The sequence below is a fragment of the Homo sapiens genome, chromosome 4 (assembly GCF_000001405.40).
Source record: "Homo sapiens chromosome 4, GRCh38.p14 Primary Assembly".
Lineage (NCBI taxonomy): Eukaryota > Metazoa > Chordata > Mammalia > Primates > Hominidae > Homo > Homo sapiens.
This window is the reverse complement of record NC_000004.12, coordinates 128695146-128720048: the sequence shown is the minus strand read 5'-3', so window position 1 is coordinate 128720048 and position 24903 is coordinate 128695146. Positions and strand designations below refer to the sequence as shown.

At 40.8% G+C, this 24903-nt stretch overlaps 1 annotated feature.

Annotated features, from left to right (window-relative positions):
- Positions 675 to 844: an enhancer, noted in NCBI's record as "experimental_74071 CRE fragment used in MPRA reporter constructs". NCBI's record gives its function as "activates a minimal promoter by MPRAs in K562 erythroleukemia cells, with activity observed for the introgressed 4:129640445 variant allele {active_cell/tissue: K562}" and the evidence as "EXISTENCE:reporter gene assay evidence [ECO:0000049][PMID:34662402]".

Genomic DNA, 24903 nt, shown 5'->3' with positions numbered 1-24903 from the left:
CAAATGAGCAAATTCATTAATTAGAGTTTCATTAATAGTTACATCTTAGGATAGCTATTTGTTTACTTAAATAATATCCTGGATCTTGATTAACATGTGAGTATATAAAGATATTATTTGAGCTTTTGTTTCTGCTTTAAAAATCTTTTATACATTCTTTGAAAATGATACCACTCACTAATGCTTATTAATGATAGAATTAAAAGATAAAAACAATTCAAAAATGGCTAGGAGTTAAAGTCTGTGACAATGTGGTAAGGTAAAAATAAGATCAGACTTTGAAATTAGGTAGACCTAGGTTATATTTTGACTCTACCACTTTTTTCCAAAGTCTTTAATAATATATTTAAATTCTGAGCTTTGGCTTCACCACCTTTAAAATGGGGAGATTAATACCACCTCACACAATTGTCAAAATTAGCACAATGTATTTGAAAACATCTTGGTCTCTGCTGAATACACCAGAACTCAAGAAATGATATGATAATGTTCCCAGCTTACCTGCTTAGGAAACAAGCCTGTGCTCAATTTCTGCATGCAAAATACTCAAATTTAAAATAGTAACCACCTTTGGATTTTCTGAAATAAACCTAAAATAAAAGGCATCCATGAGGGAAAAATTAAGACTCAATTTACCATGGGATGCATACTTACAAAGAAGGTTATAAGTCTTTATTTTTACTTATGTATTTATTTATTTTTACATTTTTTGTAGAGCTGGGGTCTTCCTTTGTTACCCAGGCTGGTCTTGAACTCCTGGGCTCAAGTGATCCTCCCACCTCAGCCTCCCAAATTGCTGGGATTACAGGCATAGCCACTGTGCCCAGCCTTAGTCTTTAGAAGTCAACAAAAGCCAAATACTGAACTCAAATGTTTCCTCTGAGGCTTGAAAAGTTTTAGAAAATATACAAGTCATGGTATCATGATATCATGATAACTATCATGATTGCTATGTAGACATCAATTTTCTAGGTTTATAAAAATGGGCTAGGTTCAGCAGGGCTCAGACTGAGCTGGTAAGATTGGCTTCTGACTCACCAAGCTCTTCTCTCTAAAATGACTGCTATTTCATGAATTTAAACAAGTGCCACAAGTGCTCATTTCCATGTGTGACATTTTTGATAAACTTCCAGGTTTTAAACTGGTTGAGAGAGCCAGATTACAAGCCAAATTTGCTTAGTGTGAACAGTGAACTAACTCCAACATAGCCCCTCTCAGACTTTCAGTGAAATTCCTCGAATATTAGCCAATTACTTTAGTGTGAACACAACTAGCTAATCACTTTTCAACATATATAAAAAGTATAATGGGTAGAAAAGGGAGTTATTTGTAACAGAAAGATCTTTGGAGGAACCCAGGAGTGAATGGAGCCTTTTAGAAGCTCCAAGTAACAAAACAATTATGGTGTACCACCTCATATGTAATTCAAAATAAAGACTATTCCAAATCATATAAAAAGAATAAGGAACTCTAACAAAATTCTGATTTTTCACATGATGATGACTATAGAGGTCTTTTTAAAGAAATGGCAAATGTTAAATTTAAGACATTTTTTCCCTCTGTTTCCCTTGCTTTACTGAATGATGCACCAAGTTGTCAACTGCCAACTCCCCAAGAAGCCACCAGAATAATCTGTTGATCAAGTGCGGCTGAGTTTGTTGAACCTCCTGCAATGAGGGAGAGCATCACCTTGACAGAGTTCTAGGATTATCCCAGAAAGGGAAGACAGAAGCAGAAATACATAGGGTGTAGGGTGATCTTTTTTTTTTTTTCTTTTTTTTGAGACAGAGTCTGGCTCTGTCACCCAGGATGGAGTGCAGTGGTGCAATCTAGGCTCATTGCAACCTCCACCTCCCCTCAAGCCATTCTCCTGCCTCAGCCTCCCAAGTAGCTGGGATTACAGGCGTGCACCACCATGCCGGGCTAATTTTTGTATTTTTCATAGAGACAGGGTTTCACCATGTTGACCAGGCTGGTCTCAAACTCCTGACCTCAGGTGATCCACCCTCCTCAGCCTCCCAAAGTGCTGGGATTACATATGTGAGCCACCGCACCCAGCAGGTGTAGATCTGATGGACACAGCAATGAGAGGGTCCTAAAGCAAGTCTTGATAAGTGCATAGTTGTTTGATAAGAGAACTATTTGCCCAGGTAAGTGAATTTATTGCCCTGAGAAGAGGGCCATTTGCCCACATGAGCAACTTTCAAATAAATTGATTTTCAGGAATTTCCTGACACAAACAGTGAAATTATTTATTGCTCTACAAGTTTATCTTCCTGGGCAAGAATTTACTAGAGCAAACAGTAAGTCATGTTGCTACAGGTGGTCTCATTTCTCTGACCTGATAGCTAAGCTAATGGAACCAATTCTCATTGTCTAACATGGACTTGAACACTAGCAAAAGCTCAACATTAAATAAGATATTGAATTAGGAAAAAAAGAGGGGGAAGTATGGGGCCAGTCAACAAAGGAATGTGAAAAATAATTTCAAGGAGGCTTGGATAGTTGCCTGCCTTCTCCAGAACAGTGGGATTAAAGGACTTCAAAGTTCAACTTCTGCCCCAAACTGTCCAGATACACCTAAACTCATAGAAGCAGAGTTCTCTTCCAGGGAGAGAAGGTTCAACTGCAACTTATGTAGACCTGATGAACCTATTTGACTGGTCTAAGATGCTTAGATCTAATGGTGTGTTCCTCGAGGGCTGAATCTGCTCGTTCAATTTTGTATCCCTAGCCTAGGACACAGAGACATTAAGTCCTCAATTCATGCAACTGGAAATGAATGAGACTATACTAAAGGTAATAGATTGGCTCTGAATGGGGAGGTAGGTAGATCATATATAGGTATAGATTTGCCTGGTTGATAAAAAGCCCGTGTTTAAGAAGCTAAGCATTAACCACATGGGGAATTTTGGACTAAGAAAAGACCATGAAGATGCTTAAAGGACACAGAAACAGATGAGATAAAGGAAAGAGCAGAGAAGAAGAGGAGGCACCTGATAATTTAAAAATCTTGTATTTACATAGCACTTTTTAATGTATTTTTATTTATGTTATTTTATTGATCTGTACAACATTCTTGTAAGCAAAGTAGAACAAGGATCATTATCACCATTTTATGGACAAGAAAGTTGCGGCTCAGAGATGGTTAAGTGTCTTGCCCAAGGTCACAACACTAAAATTGCAGATGGGCTCTTGGGCCTAGATCTTCTAAAGCATTTTGCAACTGTTAAGATTTGGAAGCAGAACTAAAACTGTGAAAAGAGTGAGAGAAGTGTTTCTCTTTACCCCTCCAACCATAAGGACCAAGGTTTGCCGAGTTGTAAGTTCTGTAAATAGACAAGAGTGTGCTGTGAACTGTAATTGAATGGGAACTGCCAATGGAGTTGTCAGACCCTGTACACTGTGCCTGGGTGCCCTGAACATAGCCTCTGAACCACCAGAAGTCTACACTGCCATCATTTAAGCACAGATGACTGTTTTTATGCCAAAGTCCTGCGTGGCCACGTGTTTCCACAGGCAGCAAAATTTTAGTATCCCTGTCTGGCTGGGCTTAAGTTTTTGGCAAGAATTCCCTCTTCCCTTGTGAACATCTTGGAAAGCTTTTAACTGAGCACAAAGATGTTTATTTTGAGAAGCAAAAGGGACTAACTAAATACGTCCAAAACCAATCTCTACCTCTCCCACCAGATGATCCTTACTTTTATCATGTAAGATATTTTGCTACCTCCACCATCTAATAGGCAGAGTACACAGGTGATACTATCGGGACTGCTCTGAAGAAAATGGTGACTTCTAGCCCTGGAGAGGTATTAAGAGTCTAGGGTGAAAAAGCATTGAGGGAAGTAGAAACGGACAGCAGTGGTGGTTGTAGGAGGGGAAGAGTGGTACTGTTATGAAACTGAACAACCAAACGTTATGTGGGTGCCCCCCAATTGCCCGATTATTTCTCAAGTATCTTTTTGGAATGGTTTTTACTCTGGTTTTAGAAGGAATCATGTCCACACATAGAATATAATTTGGCAGGCCTTAATAATAGTGTCAAATATCACATGGTCAATAACTTTTGGGGCATGTTGATATAAAATCGTGTCATTTTAGAATTATAATATACCTTAGGGTAACTGGTTCAAGTTTCTCATTTGAGAGATGAGGAAACTACGAATCAGAAAGTTAATTGACTCTCTTGAGGTCATACATACTTCAGTGGTAAACCTAGGGTTGTAAGGCAAAACTCTCGATTTTTGTGGTTATTGCAGTGTATTGTGAAATAGCTTTTCTGAAAGCTAACATTTCTTGTTTTTATTTTTTATTTTTTTTTCTTTCCACACTGAGTTTCTCACTCTTTTAAAACGCTATCAAACTTCCCTTCCAGTGCGTGAAGGGACCTAACAAAGAAAAGGCTGAAGTTAGCACAGGGAAAAGTACCTCTTCTAAAAGTTTGGCTCAGGGACACCAACTTCAAAATTTCCCTTGAAGTATTTAATAGAATTATGGTAGTTGGGGGGCAGGGGGAGTGACTTAAAATGGAGAGAAAAGGCCGGGCATGGTGGCTCATGCCTATAATCCCAGCACTTTGGGAGGTGGAGGTGGGTGGATCACTTGGGCCCAGGAGCTCAAGACGAGCCCAGGCAACATAGCGAAACCCTGTCTCTACCAAAAATTGCAAAAAATTAGCTCGGCATGGTGGTTCATGCCTGTAGTCTCAGCTACTCTGGAGGCTGAAGTGGGAGGATCGCTTGAGCTTAGGAGGTTGAGGCTGCAGTGAGCTGTGATGTTGCCTCTGCACTGCAGACTGGGTGACAGAATGAGACCCTGTCTCAAAAAAAAGTGTGTGTGTGTATGTGTGTGTGTGTGTGTATTGGAGGTGGTGAATGAATGTCTCATAAGTGAGAAGACAGATCCCTGAGGGTCTGGGGACAAATGAAAGCACACTGGTTTAGATCAAGATGAAGTCTGAATTTCTTCATAGTGAAAATTGCAAAAAATTTATGATTAGGTCCTTGAAGTTACTGTTTGTCTCAGCTAAACAGAGCCCTTTTTGAGGTATTAACTGGTATTAGAGAGAATAACATCACTAACCCCAACAGATGGTGTAAACTTATAAATCAGTCTTATCTGGAGAGACAGAAGATCAGTATGACTTGGATCAATGCTACCTTTATTCTTCTAGAACAAATGAATGTGTAGAGGCCAAGTGGGATAGGATGCCTCTGGGATCCCTCAGTACTTGTAAGTTCTTACACTCTTAATATTCAGTTTTCCCAGTCCTTGACTTTGTCCTTTATGATTGTACCAAGCACCATAGTGCCTTTGTCACCAAGTTCCATGATTTAAAAGTAGATATTCTGGGTTTTTTGCCAATACTAGGCAATCTTGGTTGCATTTCTCTAAGTACATTTTATTTTTCCTTTTCAGGTCCAAAAGATACTAAATTTTCCCCCATAATTACACTAGACAATTTATCTCCTTGTTTTTAAAAAAGCAATAGCCATTGGATATTATGTTTCTCCTTTGCAATGGTTTGAATGTGTCCTCCAGATTTTATGTGTTGGAAATTAAATTCCCAAATTCTTATGTTGATTAGAGATAGGGCTGCCTTTGGGAGGTAATTAGAATTAGATGAAGTTGGTCGGATGCCGTGGCTCATGCCTGTAATCCCAGCACTTTGGGAGGCCAAGGTGGGCAGATTACTTGAGGTCAGGAGTTTGAGACCCGCCTGACCAACATGGAAAAACCTCGTCTCTACTAAAAATACAAAATTAGCCAGGAGTGGTGGCACATGCCTGTAATCCCAGCTACTCGGGAGGCTGAAGCAGGAGAATCGCCTGAACCTGGGAGCTGAGATCATACCATTGCACTCCAGTTTGAGCAACAAGAGCAAAACTCTGTCTCAAAAAAAAAAAAAAAAAAAAAAGGGCCAGGCGCAGTGGCTCACGCCTGTAATCCCAGCACTTTAGGAGGCCGAGGTGGGCTGATCACGAGGTCAGGAGATACAGACCATGCTGGCTAACATGATAAAACCCCGTCTCTACTAAAAATACAAAAAATTAGCTGGGCGTGGTGGCGGGTGCCTGTAGTCCCAGCTACTCAGGAGGCTGAGGCAGGAGAATGGCATGAACCCAGGAGGTAGAGCTTGCAGTGAGCAGAGATCATGCCACTGCACTCCAGCCTGGGTGACAGAGCAAGACTCCATCTCAAAAAAAAAAAAAAAAAAGAATTAGATGAAGTCATCAGGGTGGGGCCTCCATGGCGGGACTGGTGGCTTTGTAAGGAGAAGAGTGATCTGAGCTCGCGTGCTCCTGCCCTCTTGCCATGTGATGCTCTCCACCATACCATGATACAGCAAGAAGGCCCTCACCAGATGCCAGCACCATGTTCTGGGAATTCGCAGCCTCCAAAACCATATGCTAAATAAACTTCTTCCTTTTATATATAAAGGGAATTTATATATAAATTACCAATTTGTGGTATTCTGTCATATCAAAAGAAAATGGACTAAGACACTCTGCTCCTAAGAGGATACCAGTTTGAGGGTCCTTGTTAATAGTGCTGCTGTTTGCAAATTGTTATTTTGTTTTTTAGCAGACTTGTTTACTTCCTGAGATTTGTTCTCTGAAGCTGACTCCTGACTTCAGCTCAGATACAGAGAAATTCTGATAAGCCAAGAATCAAAGCAACAGACAGAAGAAAATGGTTGCCTATCTTTTAGATCTAAAAGACAGACAAGTTGCAGATCATTTAAAAGGGAAAGGAGAAGCAGCAGCAAAACAAACTGCCACACTGATTATGATGGAAAGTTACCAAAGTAATTAGGGTACTGATCTTTTGTTCTCCCAGGCAGCATTCTCAAAAGTCTTGAGGACTTTTTTGTTCTTCACTTGGCTAAATGTAGAAAAGTTTCTTGTTTGACTGTAATAATGTTTCAGTTTTCTAGGTAGGAGGTGTTTTTCCTGATTTCTAATAAGTATCAAATTGTTGTAATTACATTATTTGCAGTTTATGCTCCTCAGAACTTGTTAGGGCTTCTTCCTTCCTCTGACACTGAAACTTAACTTTCAAAAATTGTTCTTTCTTTTGATATCCAAGGAAAATAATTTGAATGATGATGCTACAGTGGTTTGGACTTTTAGGTTCCTTTTTCTCTTTGGATTACAAGGTTGACACTTAAAAAAAAATCTATGGGCCAGGCATGGTGGCTCACTCCTGTAATTCCAGCACTTTGGGAGGCCGAGGTGGGCAGATCACCTGAGGTCAGGAGTTCGAGACCAGCCTGGCCAACATGGAGAAACCCGTCTCTACTAAAAATACAAAAATTAGCCAGGCGTGGTGGCATGTGCCTGTAATCCCAGCTACTCGGGAGGTTAAGACAGTAGAATCGCTTGAACCCAGGCGGCGGAGGTTGTGGTGAGCTGAGATCGCACCATTGCACTCCAGCGTGGGTGACAGAGTGAGACTCCATCTCAAAAAACAAACAAACAAAAAACACAACTATGACTATTGTGGGCCTTCACAACTCTGAGACATCTCAGAGTAAGTTGACAAGCTTTTGTTGGCCAAAGAATGGGAGTTCCCTAGGACATCTGATTCTGTGAAGCTGTTCAGTAAGTTGGGAATTTTATCTGGAGCACAAAGTACCCAAACCCATTTTTTAAGTTAAGAAAGTGTGGTTTTTAAAAAAAATAGATTCACAAAATCTTAGACACACTTCTATGATTTGAATGTTCGTATCCTCTCCGAATTTTATGTTGAAACTTGCTTCCCAATGTAACAGTATTAAGAGGTGGGGCTTTTAGGAGATGATTAGGCCATGAGGGCTTCACTTTCATGGATAGGATTAAGGCCTTTATAGAACTTGAAGGAATGGGTTGGTCCCTTTTTGCCTTTCCATTTCTTCTGCAACATGAGGACACAGCATTCATCCCCTCCAAAGTGCCCAGCAACAAGGCACCATCTTAGAAGAAGAGATTGGGCCCTCATCAGACATCCAACCTGCTAGTGCCTTGACCTTAGATTTCCAGCCTCCAGAACTGTGAGAAATAAATTTCTATTCTTTATAAATTACCCAATCTCAGGTATTTTATTATAGCAGCTGGAAGAGACTAAGACACACACCTCCTTCAAAAGCTGTAGCCTAATTCCTCTCCCTTTGAATGAATGTGGGCTGGACTTAGTGAACTGCTTCTAATGAATAGAACATGGTAGAAGTGATGTCATGTTATAGCCAATGCTAGGTTATAAAAAGGATTATTTCTGCCTGGCTCTCACTCTAGTAGATCACTTGCTCCGGGGAAAGTCAGTTGCTAGGTCATGAGAGCACTCAAGTAGCCCTGAGAGAGTCTATGTGGAGAAAATCTGAGCCCTGCCCCCAAATCCAAGTCACGTGTGTGAGCCATCTTGAAAGGGGATCAAACCTTCAGATGACTGCAGCCTCAGCCAATAGCTTGATTCTAGTCCCATGAGAGACCCCAGGCACCCACTTAAGCTGCTCCAGAACTCCTGACTCATAAAACTGTCAGAGATAATAAATGTTTATTGTTGTTTTAAGCCACTAAGTTTTGGGGAAATTTGTTATGCAATAATAGATAATGAATACAGGCAGCAATTAGCAGAGGATACTGTTCTATTCTTGAAACCCTCTAAATGAAAATAACAATTAATGTACAATCAGATAATTATTTTTCCCCAGCTATTTACATTTTATTCTCATTCATTTGAATCACAGAAATTCCACCAAAAATGCTCAGAATCTCTACTTTTCCTTGCATCTGTACACATTTGAAAGGTTGATATGTATTATTTGCATGTGAATGCACGGATGTGTATGAAATAGGAACACCAACAAATAATAATAATAATAAAAAGAAAGGAAGAAAACTGAAAGTGAGGTACAAGAGGTACAAGCCCCCTATTCTCTTTAAATATTTTATACCTTTTATCTTTTCTGAAATACTTTTTTGTCTTGGAGAAAAAGCTTCCAAGCATGCCGATTGCTGTGGCTCAAGGTCCTAGCTTACTGTAGGACCTCTTGCTCCTTAAATGAATTTCTGGTAAGTCCTCATCTTTTGCCCTCTGACAAAAGTATCTTCTATGGCACAGATCTGAGTGTATCACCTTTTCACTTAAAAATTTTCAAAAGTTACTTATTGTATACTAGATTGAGGTCTGTCATTCCCCTGTAACACCCACCCCAATGCCTGCCCCACATACATAGTTGTGTACAGAGCTCAAAACAGGACATGTCTGGGAGAATGCTTTATAAGCTGTAAGGCATAGACAAGTATGAGGTATTCTTCTCCTTAACATTCTGTAATACCTCATAAAGTCTCCCATTTTCTAGGAGATTAGAATCTGCTGGCAGCCTGGGTTTAGTAGTATCTTTCTTTTTGGTGATAAGGTTTACTGGAGTCTTTTGAATTAACTGCTCTTTCCTACATAGCACAAAACCACTATATTTTCCTATCCCTTTGCCAATCTTTTTTGTTTGTTTGTTTGTTTGTTTGTTTGCTTTGAGACGGAGTTTTGCTTCTGTCACCCAGGCTGGAGTGCAGTGGCGCAATCTTGGGTCACCATAACCTCCACCTCCTGAGTTGAAGCGATTCTCCTGCCTCAGCCTCACAAATAGCTGGGATTACAGGCATGTGCCACTGCCCTCAGCTAATTTATCTATTTTGGTATAGACGGGGTTTCGCTATGTTGGCCAGGCTGGTCTCGATCTTCTGACCTCAGGTGATCCAACTGCCTCGGCTTCCCAAAGTGCTGGGATTATATGCGTGAGCCACTGCACCTGGCCTCCTTTTGCCAATTTTAATGATGAACTTGGAAATCTCTACTCATTTTTTGTTTCAAGAGAATTTCGAAAGCAAAGGCAAGTTCAACTCCTGTGAAGTTGGCTGTTAATGTAATCTATCTGAAATGGTGGATGGGAGTTGATGAATAGCATCTTTCTGCAAACAAGCAAACCATGAATTTCGTAAGTTTTAGGTCAAGCTGAAATTATATAAGGCCAATCATTTTTCAGCATTTCATTAACTGGGTGGGATCTTTGGTAATTTTTTGAATCTGTGCCAGTTACTAAGTTTTTTCTTTTTCTTTTTGTTTGTTTGTTTGTTTTTAGGCAGAGTTTCGCTCTTGTTGCCCAGGCTGGAGTGCAATGGGGCGATCTCGGCTCACGGCAACCTCTGCCTCCCGGGTTCAAGCGATTCTCCTGTCTCAGGCTCCCGAGTAGCTGGAATTACAGGCATGCGCCACCACGTCTGGCTAATTTTGTATTTTTAGTAGAGACAGGGTTTCTCCATGTTGGTCAGGCTGGTCTCGAACTCTTGACCTCAGGTGATCCACTCGTCTCGGCCTCCCAAAGTGCTGGGATTACAGGCGTGAGCCACTGCGCCCGGCCCTCCAGTTACTAAGTTTTTACTCTCAACTTTAAATCCCAGTCTTTGATATTCTGCTTTGCCAGTGGCTTCCCTTTAGGCTGTGTCAACAGTGGGTGCAGAGAGACTGCTAGGCTGTGGGAGGAAGAAGGGACTTGATCCTTCCTGTCTGTTTTCTCGTTGCTTCTTGTTTGGCTTCCTGTCTTCTTGTGCATCCGGTGAGCTTTGCTCCAGCAACACCTCTTCCTCCCTGAAGCAGCAGTTCCTTCCCATAGCAGCAGCTGAATCCACCTTGTAATTTTCCAACACCTGCAGAACCAGCTTCACCCCTGCCTCACCACCCACTAGCACCCAGCTGGTGGGGGCTTCTTCCTTACATGCCTGAGTTTCAGCTTTCTCTAAGTTTTGACGTTTTAATAATTCCAATATCTTGCCTGGCTCTTTCCAGCCCTAGAAGTGTATGGTAGCCAAGTGAATGTCCCTCATAGAACTTCAACTATAAGGAGTATAATTAGGGTTGCTGGATTTAGCAGATAAAAATAATGAATTAAATTACAGTTAAATTTGAACAACAAATAATTTTTTATTGTATGTATATACTATGCAATATTTGGGACAAACTTATACTACAAATTTCTTCGTTGTTTATCTGAAACTTAAATTTAACTGAGTGTCCTACATTCTATCTGGTAATCCTAATTACCAGATAGTGTAATAGTGTCCTACATTCTATCTGGTTACCTAATTACACTTAGGTAACCCTAAGTGTAATTGACCAAGGGCCCCAACTACTGCTCTTTGAAACCCCTCCACTGCAGACCTCGCTCTGAGGCCACACTTCCCAGGGCCTGCTCCCACTAACTGAGAACACCGGGGTACTGAGGCAGATTCCTGGGAGACCTGGCACTCCTCTGACCAACAACTTTGGCCCAATGAATTTCCTATGGCTTTACTGAAACTTTCTTAGATTTTATAGCCCCTTTTTCCTTCCCTAGGTTATACTTGCATCTCAGTCTGTGGCAGCTCTCCCAGCCTCCCTCCGTTTCCTTCCACACAGGTATTTCCCCTAATGGAATCCTCATAGGTTTAATCTGTCTTCATGTCTACACAGGGTAAGCTATGCAGGGTTGCTACAAGGTGCTAGCAACTTCCTATAGTCACTACTCTGTGATGCTTTCATATTCCTCTTTACCCTCTCAATTACCTAGTAAACAACTTAATACCTTGCTAACAATTCTTTATATTAAATCCACTGTCTTCAAATAACTGTTGTGGTTTCTGTCTCTTGACCGGACTCTGACTGGGTACCCCTGAGGCTGGCAAAAACTTTAAATTGTTCCAGGAAATGTAAGACACTAAGCCATTCCATTAAAGGGATGTGGGATGTTATTTTCCCTTAAATTCCCTTGTTATTTTACCACAGAGTTGGCAAAACAGGTTGAGCAAGATGACTGCCTGTTATAAATGTGGCATCAGACATTTGTTATGTTGTGTTCGATACTGAGAGTCACACTTGGACACATTGGCAAACCAGAACGCCTCCGCAGGAAGGTAATCATGAAAATGACAAATCTCGAAGCGATTCCCAACAAGGGGTGTGCTTATTTAATCTGGAGAAGAGAAGAAAGGCTCCGGGAGGATGGGGTGGCTGTTTTCAAGTATTTGAAGGTCAGTCATATGGAAACTGGATTAAACTTATTTTGCATGGCTCCAGATGTTAGAACTGAAACCAATCAGCAGAGCCAGAGTAAGGCATGTGGGCTCATAATTTGGCAGCCATGCAAGCCTGTATCTCTTCAATATTTGTTAAACATGTCTCTAGCGAGAGTCAGAAGAATTTTTTTTCTGCTAATAAAATGTATGCAGCTTTTTATGCTCAAAATAAAGAATCTATTACATGTGAAAACATAACATTAAAATTTTAACTTTTTTTTTTTTTGAGACGGAGTCTCGCTCTGTCACCCAGGCTGGAGTGCAGTGGCGCAATCTTGGCTCACTGCAACCTCTGTCTCCCAGGTTCAAGCAATTCTCCTGCCTCAGCTTCCCAAGTAGCTGGGATTGCAGGCATGTGCTACCACGCCTGGCTGATTTTTGTACTTTTAGTAGAGACGGGGTTTCACCATGTTGGCCAGGCTGGTCTCGAACTCCTGACCTCGTGATTTGCCCGCCTTGGCCCCCCAAAGGGCTGGGATTACAGGCGTGAGCCACCGAGCCTGGCCACGAAAAATTTTTTAAAAGTTAAAATTTTAGGCCTGGCGTGGTGGCTCACGGGTGTAATCTCAGCACTTTGGGAGGCCAAGGCTGGCAAATCACGAGGTCAGGAGTTCGAGACCAGCCTGGCCAACATGGTGAAAACTTGTCTCTGCTAAAAATACAAAAAATTAGCCAGGCCTAGTGGCGGGCGCCTGTAATCCCAGCTACTCGGGAGGCTGAGGCAGGAGAATCGCTTGAACCCGGGAGGCAGAGGTTGCATGAGCCGAGACTGTGCCACTGCACTCCAGCCCAGCCGACAGAGACTCCATCTCAAAAAAAAAAAAAAAAAAAAAAAATTCCAGTTTTTATATCACGCAACACTTACTAGGTAAGAGTAGAGGTAACTTACATGGATATTATTAAAAATCCTGTCTAGATATATTTAAAAGTTCCTTCATCTAACTTTTATAGAGTCACACACTTTTGTTTTTTTTTTTTTTTTTTTTTTTTTTTTTTTTTGAGACGTACTATTGCTGTCACCCAGGCTGGAGTGCAGTGGCGCGATCTCGGCTCACTGCAAGCTCCAGCTCCCAGGTTCACGTCATTCTCCTGCCTCAGCCTCCCCAGTAGCTGGGACTACAGGTGCCCACCACCACGCTCGGCTAATTTTTTGTATTTTTAGTAGAGACGGGGTTTCACCGTGTTCACCAGGATGCTCTTGATCTCCTGACCTCATGATCTGCCCACCTCGGCCTCCCAAAGTGCTGGGATTACAGGCGTGAGCCACCGCGCCCGGCTTTTTTTTTTTTTTTTTTTGAGATGGAGTCTCGCCCTGTCGCCCAGGCTGGAGTGCAGTGGTGCGATTTCGGCTCACTGCAAGCTCCGCCCTCTGGGTTCACGCCATTCTCCTGCCTCAGCCTCCTGAGTAGCTGGGACTACAGGCGCCTGCCACCACGCCCGGCTAATTTTTTGTATTTTTAGAAGAGACGGGGTTTCACCATGTTGGCCAGGATGGTCTGGATCTCCTGACCTCGTGATCTGCCCGCCTCGGCCTCCCAAAGTGCTGGGATTACAGGCGTGAGCCACTGCGCCTGGCCACTTCTTTCTTTTATCTAATGCTTACTATATTTTCATCTTAGATTATTTTACAATTGTCTAAATGGAAAAGGTATTGCCTAATAAAGGGTTTACAGTTTAGATAATAAAATAAACTACCCATTCCTAGTAAACAGCACTGCATAATTGGGCTTTGGAACATCGGATGACCACATCTTCAGACTCCTGTGGGCTGGTGTTGAAATTGGGGGACTAGCTCTTTGTTGCTTTGTGCTACTTACACATCTGCCTCTCAAAAATACTCAACAAAGATAGCTTAGTGTAGATGAGGAATATATGTTTTTACATTTTCCCTTAAAAACGCTATTTCCATGCAGCAAGACAAATTCGCATGGTTCTCTGTTATGTGAGGTGTGATGTGTGGAGACGTATTAACTAGCACCATTTAACAATTGATTTTAGTGATTTTTCAGCACCCCTTTTTGATAAATGCTCACACTGCTGCCTGGTTTGTCTATTCCTTAATGTAGATCTCCAGTGGGTAAAAGTTACAGGGCAGCTGTATATATTTCTGCCAGTATAAGCAAGACCTCATTAAGAACTAGAGCTTCCAATAATAAATTGAGCTCCTTGCGAAGCAGAGCGTTCTTCAACATGGAATGTTACTTATGGATTTTTTTTTTTTTTTAGACGGAGTCTTGCTCTGTCGCCCAGGCTGAAGTACAGTGGCACAATCTCGGCTCACCACAACCTCCACCTCCTGGGTTCAAGCAATTCTCCTGCCTCAGCCTCTCAAGTAGCTGGGATTACAGGCACCCCCACCACCGCGCCCAGCTAATTTTTGTATTTTTAGTAGACGGGGTTTCACCATCTTGGCCAGGCTGGTCTCTAACTCCTGACCTCGTGATCCACCTGCCTCAGCCTCCCAAAGTGTTGGGATTACAGATATGAGTCACAGCACCTGGCCTACTTATGGATATTACAGAAAAGAATTCTATACTGTGAAGGAAGATAAACTGGAATAATATATAGAAATAATTCATATAAATAAATGTAAAGTTCAGTTTTCTGAGATTTTAACAGTTTATAGAAGACTAGCCAAACAATGGTTTTATAATTAACAAGATGTTAAAACAACCTCATTAAAAAGTAGGCAAAGGGCCAGGTACGGTGGCTCACGCTGTAATCCCAGCACTTTGGGAGGCTGAGGTGGGCAGATCACTTGAGGTCAGGAGTTTAAGACCAGCCTGGTCAACATGGTGAAACCCTGCCTCTACTAAAAATATAAAAATTAGCCAGGCATGGTGATGCATATCTGTAATCCCAGCGACTGGGGAGGCTGAGGCGCAAGAATTGCTTGAACCCGGGAGGCAGAGGTTGCGGTGAGCCGAGATTGCGTCACTGCACTCTAGCCTGGGCAACAGAGTGAGACTCTGTCTCGAAAAAAAAAAAAACAGGCCAAGCGTGGTGGCTCACACCTGTAATCCCAGCACTTTGGGAGGCCAAGGCGGGCAGATCACGAGGTTAGGAGTTCGAGACCAGCCTGGCCAACATGTTGAAACCCTGTCTCTACTAAAAATACAAAAATTAGCTGGGTGTGGTGGTGCATGCCTGTAATCCTAGCTACTCAGGAGGCTGAGGCAGGAAAATTGCTTGAACCCAGGAGGCAGAGGTTGCAGTGAGCCTAGATCGTGCCACTGCACTCCAGCCTGGGGGACAGAGAGAGACTCTGTCTCAAAAAAAAAAATAAAATAAAATAAGTGGGCAAAGGACATGAACAGACACTTTTCAAAAGAAGACATACATGTAGCCAACAAGCATATGACAAAAGCTCAATAGATAAATCATTAGAGAGCATCAGAGAATGATCATTAGAAAACTACAAGTCAAAACCACAATGAGATATCATCTCACACCAGTCAGAATGGCTATTATTAAAAAGTCAAAAAATAACAGATGCAGGTGAGGTTACGGAGTAAAAGGAACATTTATACACTGTTGGTGGGAGTGTATGTTAGTTCAACTGTAGCAGGACAAGCCGCAGACAAAACCCCTCAGACACCGAGTTAAAGAAGGAAGGGCTTTATTCGGCCGGGAGCTTCGGCAAGACTCATGTCTCCAAAAACCGAGCTCCCCGGGTGAGCAACTCCTGTCCCTTTTAAGGACTTACAACTGTAAGGGGGTACGTGTGAAGGGTCGTGATGGATTGAACAAACAGCGGGTATGTGACTAGGGGCTGCATGCACTGGTAATCAGAACGGAACAGGACAGGGATTTTCACAGTGCTTTTCCATACAACGTCTGGAATCTATAGATAACATAACTGGTTAGGTCAGGGGTCGATCTTTAACCAGGCCCAGGGTGCAGCGCCGGACTGTCTGCCTCTGGATTTCATTTCTGCCTTTTAGTTTTTACTCCTTCTTTCTTTGAAGGAAAAAATTGACCGTAAGACAACATGAGGGGTGATCTCCTCCCTTACAACCATTGTGGAAAGCAGTGTGGAGATTCCATAAAGAGCTAAAAACAGAACAACCATTTGACCCAGCAATCCCATTACTGGGTATATACCCAAAGGAATATAAATCATTCTACCGTAAACACATGTACACGTATGTATATTCCAGCACTATTCACAATAGCAAAGATATGGAAGCAACCTAAATGCCCATCGATGGCAGACTGGATAAAGAAAGTGTGGTACATATAGACCATGGAACACTATGCAGCCATAAAAAAGAAGGAGACCATGTCCTTTGCAGGAACATGGATGGAGCTGGAGGTCATCATCCTTAGCAAACTAATGCAGGAACAAGAAAACCAAATACCGCATGTTGCCACTTATAAGTGGGAGCTAAATGATGAGAACACATGGACACAAAGAGGGGAACAACAGACACTGGGGCCTAATTGAGAGTGAAGGGTGGGAGGAAGGAGAGGATCAGAAAAAATACCTATTGAGTACTAGGCTTAGTACCTGGGTGACCAAATGATCTGTTAAACAAACACCCATGACAGGAGTTTACCTATATAACGAACCTGCAAATGAATCACTGAACCTAGAATAAAAGATTTAAAAAAAAAAAAAAAGTACAAGGCTGGGTATGGTGGCTCACGCCTATAATCCCAGCACTTTGGGAAGCCGACGTGGGTGGATCACTTGAGGCCAGGCATTCAAGACCAGCCTGGCCAACATGGTGAAACCCTGTCTGTGCTAAAAACACAAAAATTAGCAGGATGTGGTGGCACATGCCTGTAATCCCAGCTACTCAGGAGGCTGAGGCAGGAGAATCACTTGAACCCGGGAGGCAGAGGTTGTAGTGAGCCGAGATCCCATCACTGAACTCCAGCCTGGGCAACAGAGCAAGGCTCTGTCTCAAAAAAAAAAAAAAAAAAAAAAAAAAGGTACAAATTTCAAAGGTAATAAAAAATATATTGATTCTGTAAATACTGTTTAGGATGACAGCTGATGTTGCCTGGATCTGTATGCCATCCAAATTTACATTCTTGACTTAGAGATGTGATTTGAAATATTTAAAATATATGTTAAGGCTGGGCGCGGTGGCTCATGCCTGTAATCCCAGCACTTTGGGAGGCCGAGGCAGGCAGGTCACCTGAGGTCAGGAGTTTGAGACCATCCTGACCAATATGGAGAAACCCTGTCTCTACTAAAAATACAAAATTAGCTGGGCGTGGTGGCACATGCCTGTAATCCCAGCTGCTAGGGAGGCTGAGGCAGGAGAATTGCTTGAACCTGGGAGGCGGAGTTTGCCGTGAGCCGAGAGAGCGCCACTGCACTCCAGCCTGGGCAACAAGAGCGAAACTCTGTCTCAAAACATAAAAAAAAAATAAATAAGTAAGTAAATAAAAAATAATAAAATATATGTTAATCATGATTATAAAAAATAAAAAGGATGTTAAGAAATGTTCTATGATATTTTAAGATAAAGCAAAAGAGAGTTGTATGCTTTCAATTTCATTGAAAGCATTGTGTAGCAGGCCTGCTTCGAGATTTTTAAAAAAAATTTGTAGAAGAGTGTGCTTTGTTTTACTTTGTTATTAACTATTGATTAAAGTCCAGACATTGTGAAGGCACATGTTAACTTGCAGGTTTTCACCTGATAGAGAAATGCAAAACATTTCTCTCTGGTGGAAGAGATAACCTCAAAGTATACTTTATGCCCTATAGACTATTCAGTTTTTTCTCTAACTTAAAAAAATCTTTTTGCAATGTGCCTTTTTTGATGGACTATATGAGTCCCAGCTCCTCAAACATTTTTAAAAACCAGCTTTATTGTCTAATTATTTTATTAATTAATGAGTTGAATAAAGTTTTGACTTGTGTTCATTCTGTATTACTATGAAAGTCATGCTTTTAACTTGAAAATTGTATTTGACAAAGACGTGAGTTTAAAAAGCGAGATGGTCATCCAAATGGCTAATAAAATTAAGAATTCAGAACATTCATTCAGAACACATGTTAATTCAGAATTTGGAACACACATTGTACCTTTCACTAATCAGTTGACATCTGTTGCATTTGATTAGGTTCTGAGCATTTCACTTTTAACATTATGTTATCCAAACAGAGACCTACAAGAAGAGGGCAACTAAATGGGAGGTCTTAAAAACATGTTAGATGGGGCTGGGCACAGTGGCTCACGCCTGTAATCCCAGCACTTTGGGAGGCCAAGGTGGGTGGATTGCCTGAGCTCAGGAGTTCGAGACCAGCCTGGGCAACATGGTGAAACCCCTTCTCTACTAAAATACAAAAAATTAGCCAGGCGTGGTGGCATGCCCCTGTAGTCCCAGCTACTTGGGAGGCTGAGGCAGGAGAATTGCTTGAGCCCGGGAGGTGGAGATTGCAGTGAGCCGAGATCGCACCACTGTACTCCAGCCTGGGCAACAGACACACCACTGCACTCCAGCCTGGGCAACAGAGCAAGACTCTAAGAAAAGAAGAAAAAAAAAAAAGTTAGATGAAATATTAATGGAACTAAGGAACAAAGATTCAACAGGAATTATGTGTTATGGCAGTTTTAAAGTGTTATCTCTGATTTCATTAAATGTGACAAATCACAAGGCTGTATGAACTGAGGAAAGTCATTAACTTCTCTGGGTCTCAGTTTTTTAATCTGTAAAATGAATGAGTTGAACTAGCTCTAAAATCTTAAGATAATTGTACTGAATATTGAAAGTTTATTGAATAAAAGAAGGATTAGACTTATTTTGTGCATTTCCTAAGAGCATGACTAAGCCCTCTGGTTAGAAGTTATAAGAAAATAGATTTTTGGCTGAGTGTGAAGAAAAGCTTTCTAACTAGGAAAATTGTTCACAAATATAACAAGCTGTCATGTGAAGTACTGAGTACTGGTACCATTTAGGAGGACCCATTGAGATACTCAAGTGGACTCACCTGCTATTGCCACTAAACTGCGCACCCTGAAAAGTGGACCTCAGGGTCTAATTAAACCCAGGCACATCTTTACTTGTCTTCTAGAGTGAATCCCAAATAGCTAACTCTGCATTTTTTCAGGTTTTCCTTCTTTTTTCATATTTTGTGGTTTTATTTCTATTTCTGTTTCTTGGCCAAGTCTGCTAGTCTGTGTGTGTTTTGACTCACTTTTTATGGTCAAGCACATTTGTGTCCTAAGTCAGATAATACTGGCTGGTGAGGACCAAATACATGCATCTCTTCCCAATTCTGCAGTAGCTTGAAAATAGCTATTATGGGGGAATTTACACCACAGAAACAGGCAAATGCTATACATACAGGAGTGTTCAATCTTTTGACGTCCCTGGGTCACATTGGAAGAAATGTCTTGGGCACCCATAAAATACACTAATACAATGACAGCTGATGAGCTACAAAAAAAGAAAAAAAAGAAAAAATCACAAAAAAATCTCATGTTTTAAGAAAGTTTATGAATTTGTGTTGGGCCACATTCAAAGCCATCCTGGGCTAAATGTGGCCTGTGGGCTGCGGGTTGGATAAGCTTGCATTAAGACTTTGGAGGCTGGGTGCAGTGGCTCACGCCTGTAATCTTGGCACTTTGGAAGGCCGAGGCGGGCGGATCACGAGGTCGGGAGATTGAGACCATCCTGCCTAACATGGTGAAACCCCGTCTCTACTAAAAATACAAAAAAAAAAAATTAGCCGGGCGTGGTGGCGGGCGCCTGTAGTCCCAGCTACTTGAGAGGCTGAGGCAGGAGAATGGCGTGAACCCGGGAGGCGGAGGTTGCAGTGAGCCGAGATCACGCCACTGCGCTCCAGCCTGGGCTACAGAGCGAGACTCCGTCTGCAAAAAAAAAAAAAGACTTACTTTGGAGAGCTGGTATATCTGCTCCCATATGTCTCTTTTCACAACTGATAGCAGGCACAGTGAGTCCACGTCATGTCTCAAACCACTAGGCCAGTCTCAACTGCATAATCTAAAGAGTACCCTTGTGCAATTTGTGGCCATGGTCATGTCCCCTTCTAGAGCTAGACCCAAGACTCCTAGGCCAGTCTTGATTCCATGGTTAAGAGATGGCCTTGTGTGTACATAATTCTGATATGCACATAGCTGATTATTAAGGATAATTTGGTTTTATGATTAGATCATTTGGTGACCTCTGGGAGGTGGACAATGGGACCTATTTTCTATCAAGGAAGAGATAATAGCTAATCTGCGTTGTCAGTCTTTTTTGTCTGTTTATCTACTTGTGAACTCAAATTAATTGAGAAAATATTTTGTGCCTACTAGAAAGAAAAACAGTCCTTTGAAAACTGGAATGGTGAGTTTTGTTTATTTGTTTACTCCTGAACTGTAGCTGAGGTTATAGAGCTGAAGCCACCCAACTCTGTAATTGAGAAAAGCTTTTATCTCTCATTGTATGTGTGAAATGCTTTCTTACCTCTGGAGGGTGTTAATAAATTAGATTACAAGGTCTATTAAATTAAAAGAACTCTGCTCTAATAGACTTATAGGGAGTAATAAGTGCTTACATTAATCCAATATTTCCAGAATTCCTAAAAAATAAACTAAAATTTTAATACTCTAGCTTTTTAATAAAAATTCTTTCAGAAAATGCCAACTTAGAAACATTTTATATGATAATGTAAATATGTAATTATATATGTAATATCATATATTATATATACCACATGTATATATGGATACATGTTATTTATGTATCCATATATACATAATATATGGATACATATACATGTATGTATATATACATATGTATAACACATGGATGACACATAAGATAGCATGTAATAAATCTTTAGCTAAATCAGACTAGTTTATAATTTTGATTTAGAAAAAAATTAATGTATTTTTCTTTGATTTGGGTGCGTTAAATATATTTGTACATTTCATTTTTTAGAAGACCTAGGTTTGCCTTCTGAACTTTATATACTAGTTTATTGATAAAATAGTTTAACACCATGGATTATGAAAAATGTAAAATTATGTGTGTAACCAAATTGAATTACAATATTGGCAATGTTTTAGGAATCAATCATGTTCTATAGTATGTCAGCTCAAACATAATTTTTAATAACCTCAAGTTAACTTCAAAATCTTGGACTAATATTAAATCAAGTTAATTAATGGATAACCTTTGCATGCCTAGATAATTTCTATAATAGAATACAAAAACATTAATTACTAAGCATAGTTTAAAAAGATATATACGTCTTTGTTTCTTATTTTACTATATTACAGGGAGCATACCTTTGGATCATATTAATGAATGTGTTCAGTTTTGCTTTTACTGTATTTAAAACTCAATTACCAATTACTCATCTCCCACTTTTCTCTGTGAAACAGAGGCTAGTTATTGATTTACAGTTATAGTTAATATGGGTAATTAAGACTATACCAGGAGCATTAGTGGCAGTAGGGCAAGCAGTAGTGTAAAGAAGTACAACAATGTTTCTAAAGTGAAGTAATTTTTTTCATTTCTCAAGGAAAAAGTGAGTAGTTTTGGTCTAAAGGCAAAGTGTCTGTTCTAGAACATGAAATAAGATAGGGAAAGACAAAACGTAAATGGATAGATGTAGAAAATTGTAGAAGGTTTGCAAAAAGTAAACCATATTTGTCTTGCTTGTCTGAAAAGAAGCAATAAAATATGTTAACATTTGGCAACATTTCCTCAGCTTTGATGGGCTTATTCAAAAGATAATTTTTTAAAAAAGAAACTTGGAATCCATTATTGCCAAATATTGATTTGATGCAAAAATAGAATTTGGCTTTCTCTCTATTAAAATGATAAACTGGTCTTATAGCGCTTAACAAGGGGTAATAAACAGTTATTATCACCTTTTGAATAATCCATCCGGGTAGAAGAGATTTATACTGCACCAGAATAATTTTCTGTGCTTTGTGTTGATTTTATCATGTCCATTATTACGTTTTAAAGAACAAAGTCTTCTCACATCTGAAAGAGCTGAGATTCATTAAAATTGTTTTACCTACTTCTATGCTTATTTAAAAATATTATATTGATGCTTTAATGAATAGATAACTACACTCTTTTTTCTCAGGCACTCGTGACACTATCTTAATTGTGGACCAAATGTCTTGTTAAATCTGTGGCTTTGGGCTTCTTAAGATTACACCTTAAATTCAGAAAAAATGGAATTCTCAGGATGTTTTTACACTTGATTACCTTGGCAACTCCCAGAGAACCTCTGGGAAATCACAAAGATGTGCTCTTTCAACTTAGGAAAAAGCGAGTGATAGAAATAATTAGGTTTGTTGAGTGGCTTGATATTTTTTTAAAGAGCTCAACACATTGTAAGAGTAGCTTGGGAAAAGTTGTCTAATCAGAAGGGATGCCCCGCCTTCCCTTGGTTAAGTTTTATAGGTACAATGCAATTAACATAAATAGCTCAGACAGCCTACACTTTACAGAAAGGTCCTAATGATTTTGCAATGTCTTTATCCATAATATGTCCTTACCCTCAAGGGAAACATTGATCAAACCCTTACAAGACACTCATGCGTCAGACAACTTTGTTCCCTTCCATTCTGATATTGCTCGTTACTGTAATAAAGGAACCACAGCCATGCCGTCTTCCAGGTCCTTTCTGCTTCTCTCACATGCTTGCCTGAAGGCTCTGCTATAAGTTACAAGCCATAGATCAGATCTTCAACAAAAAAGTCTTAGAGCCTCACAGAAAGGACTGTACTGGGTACTCTTAACTATTGATACTTCAAAGAATGGACTCCTGAATACGAGCTTCTGAGCTGATATCCCTTAGACAACTTTCAGACTGTACCAGGGAACTAAGTCAGGATGTCCAGGATTCGTTGTTTTGGTCTGTAAGCTGCTAACTTTGTGAAATCAGATTGCTGACCCAAGACTCAGCAGAACAATTATTAATTATATAGGACCAAAGAAACTGATGAGAGAAATGTAATTGTGATTATTTGTTTGAATACATGTATGTGTATTTGTGTGTGTATACATGTATATATAATATACATATATATGTATTTGATGCCTTATTTTCTGATGGGTAAGTTATTAATTTTTTAGGTGGCAAATGATATCACCTTTTTTTAAAAAAAGTAATTCTTATCTCTTAGTGATACATGCTGAAACATTTTCATATAAAATGATACAGTATCTGGGATTGGCTTCAAAATAATCTGGGTGGAAGAGTGAATGGGGGAGATGAAATGAATTTACTCTGTGTTGACAAATGGTAAGCAGGCTGATGGGTACATGAGGGTTCATCATGCTAATTTCTCTACTTTCGTATCATTCAAATTTTTCTTTTCTTTTCTCTAAAGTCCCACTCTATTGCCCAGGCTGGAGTGCTATGGCACGATCTTTCAATCTCCACCTCCCGGGTTCAAGCAATTCTCCTGCCTCAGCCTCTGGAGCAGCTGGGATTACAGCCAAGTGTCACCACTCCCAGCTAATTTTTGTATTTTTAGTAGAGATGGAGTTTCACCATGTTGGCCAAGCTGGTCTCGAACTCCTGACCTCAAGTGATCCACCTGCCTCGGCCTAAGTGCTGGGATTACAAGTGTGAGCCACCACGCCCGGCCTGTTCAAAATTTTTCTACAATAAAAACTATTTTAGGCCAGGCGCGGTGGCTCACGTCTGTAATCCCAGCGCTTTGGGAGGCCAAGGTGGGCGGATCATGAGGTCAGGAGATCGAGACCATCCTCGCTATCATGGTGAAACCCTGTCTCTACTAAAAATACGAAAAATTAGCTGGGCATAGTGGCGGGCGCCTGTAGTCCCAGCTACTTGGGAGGCTGAGGCAGGAGAATGGCGTGAACCTGGGAGGCGGAGCTTGCAGTGAGCCAAGATTGCGCCCACTGCACTCCAGCCTGGGCGACAGAGGGAGACTGTCTCGAAAAAAAAAAAAAAAACTATTTTAAAAAATCTCTTCACAAAATTTCCTGTGTTTTTTAAGGTTTTCATACTATTAAATACACATCTTATTTCAAAATATGCTCAAACTACTATTTCCTTATCAATCTTTTTCTTGAATTCAGGTTGTTTTTAATTTTTATAAGTAATGATGGAATAAACCTTTTTATGCATAAACTTTTCACTATATTTTGGCTTATTTTTATTGTATATATTTAAGGTATACAAAATAATGTTTTGGTACACATATACATAGTGAAATGATTACTATAGTTGATATGGTTTGGCTTTGTATCCCCACCCAAATCTCATCTCGAATTGCAATCCCCACATGTCGAGGTAAGGAGGTGATTGGATCATGGGGGCAGTTTCCCCCATGCTGTTCTCATGATAGTGAGTTCTCACAAGATCTGATGGTTTTGTTTGTTTGTTTGTTTGTTTTTGTTTTTGAGACGGAGTTTTGCTCTTGTTGCCCAGGCTGGAGTGCAATGGCACGATCTCAGCTCACCACAACCTCCACCTCCGAGGTTCAAGTGATTCTCCTGCCTCAGCCTCCTGAGTAGCTGGGACTACAGGCATGTGCCACCATGCCTGGCTAATTTTGTATTTTTAGTAGAGATGGGGTTTCTCCTTGTTGGTCAGACTGATCTCGAACTCCTGACCTCAGGTGATCTGCCCGCCTCAGCCTCCCAAAGTGCTGGAATTATAGGCGTAAGCCACTGCGCCCAGCAGATCCAAAAGTTTCATGTGTTTGGAAGTTCCTCCTTTGTTTTCTCTCTCCTGATGCCTTGTAAAGAAGGTGCTTGCTTCCCCTTCACCTTCTGCCACGTGCTTCCCCTTCACCTTCTGCCATGATCGTAAGTTTCCTGAGGCCTCCCCAGCCATGTGGAACTGAGAGTC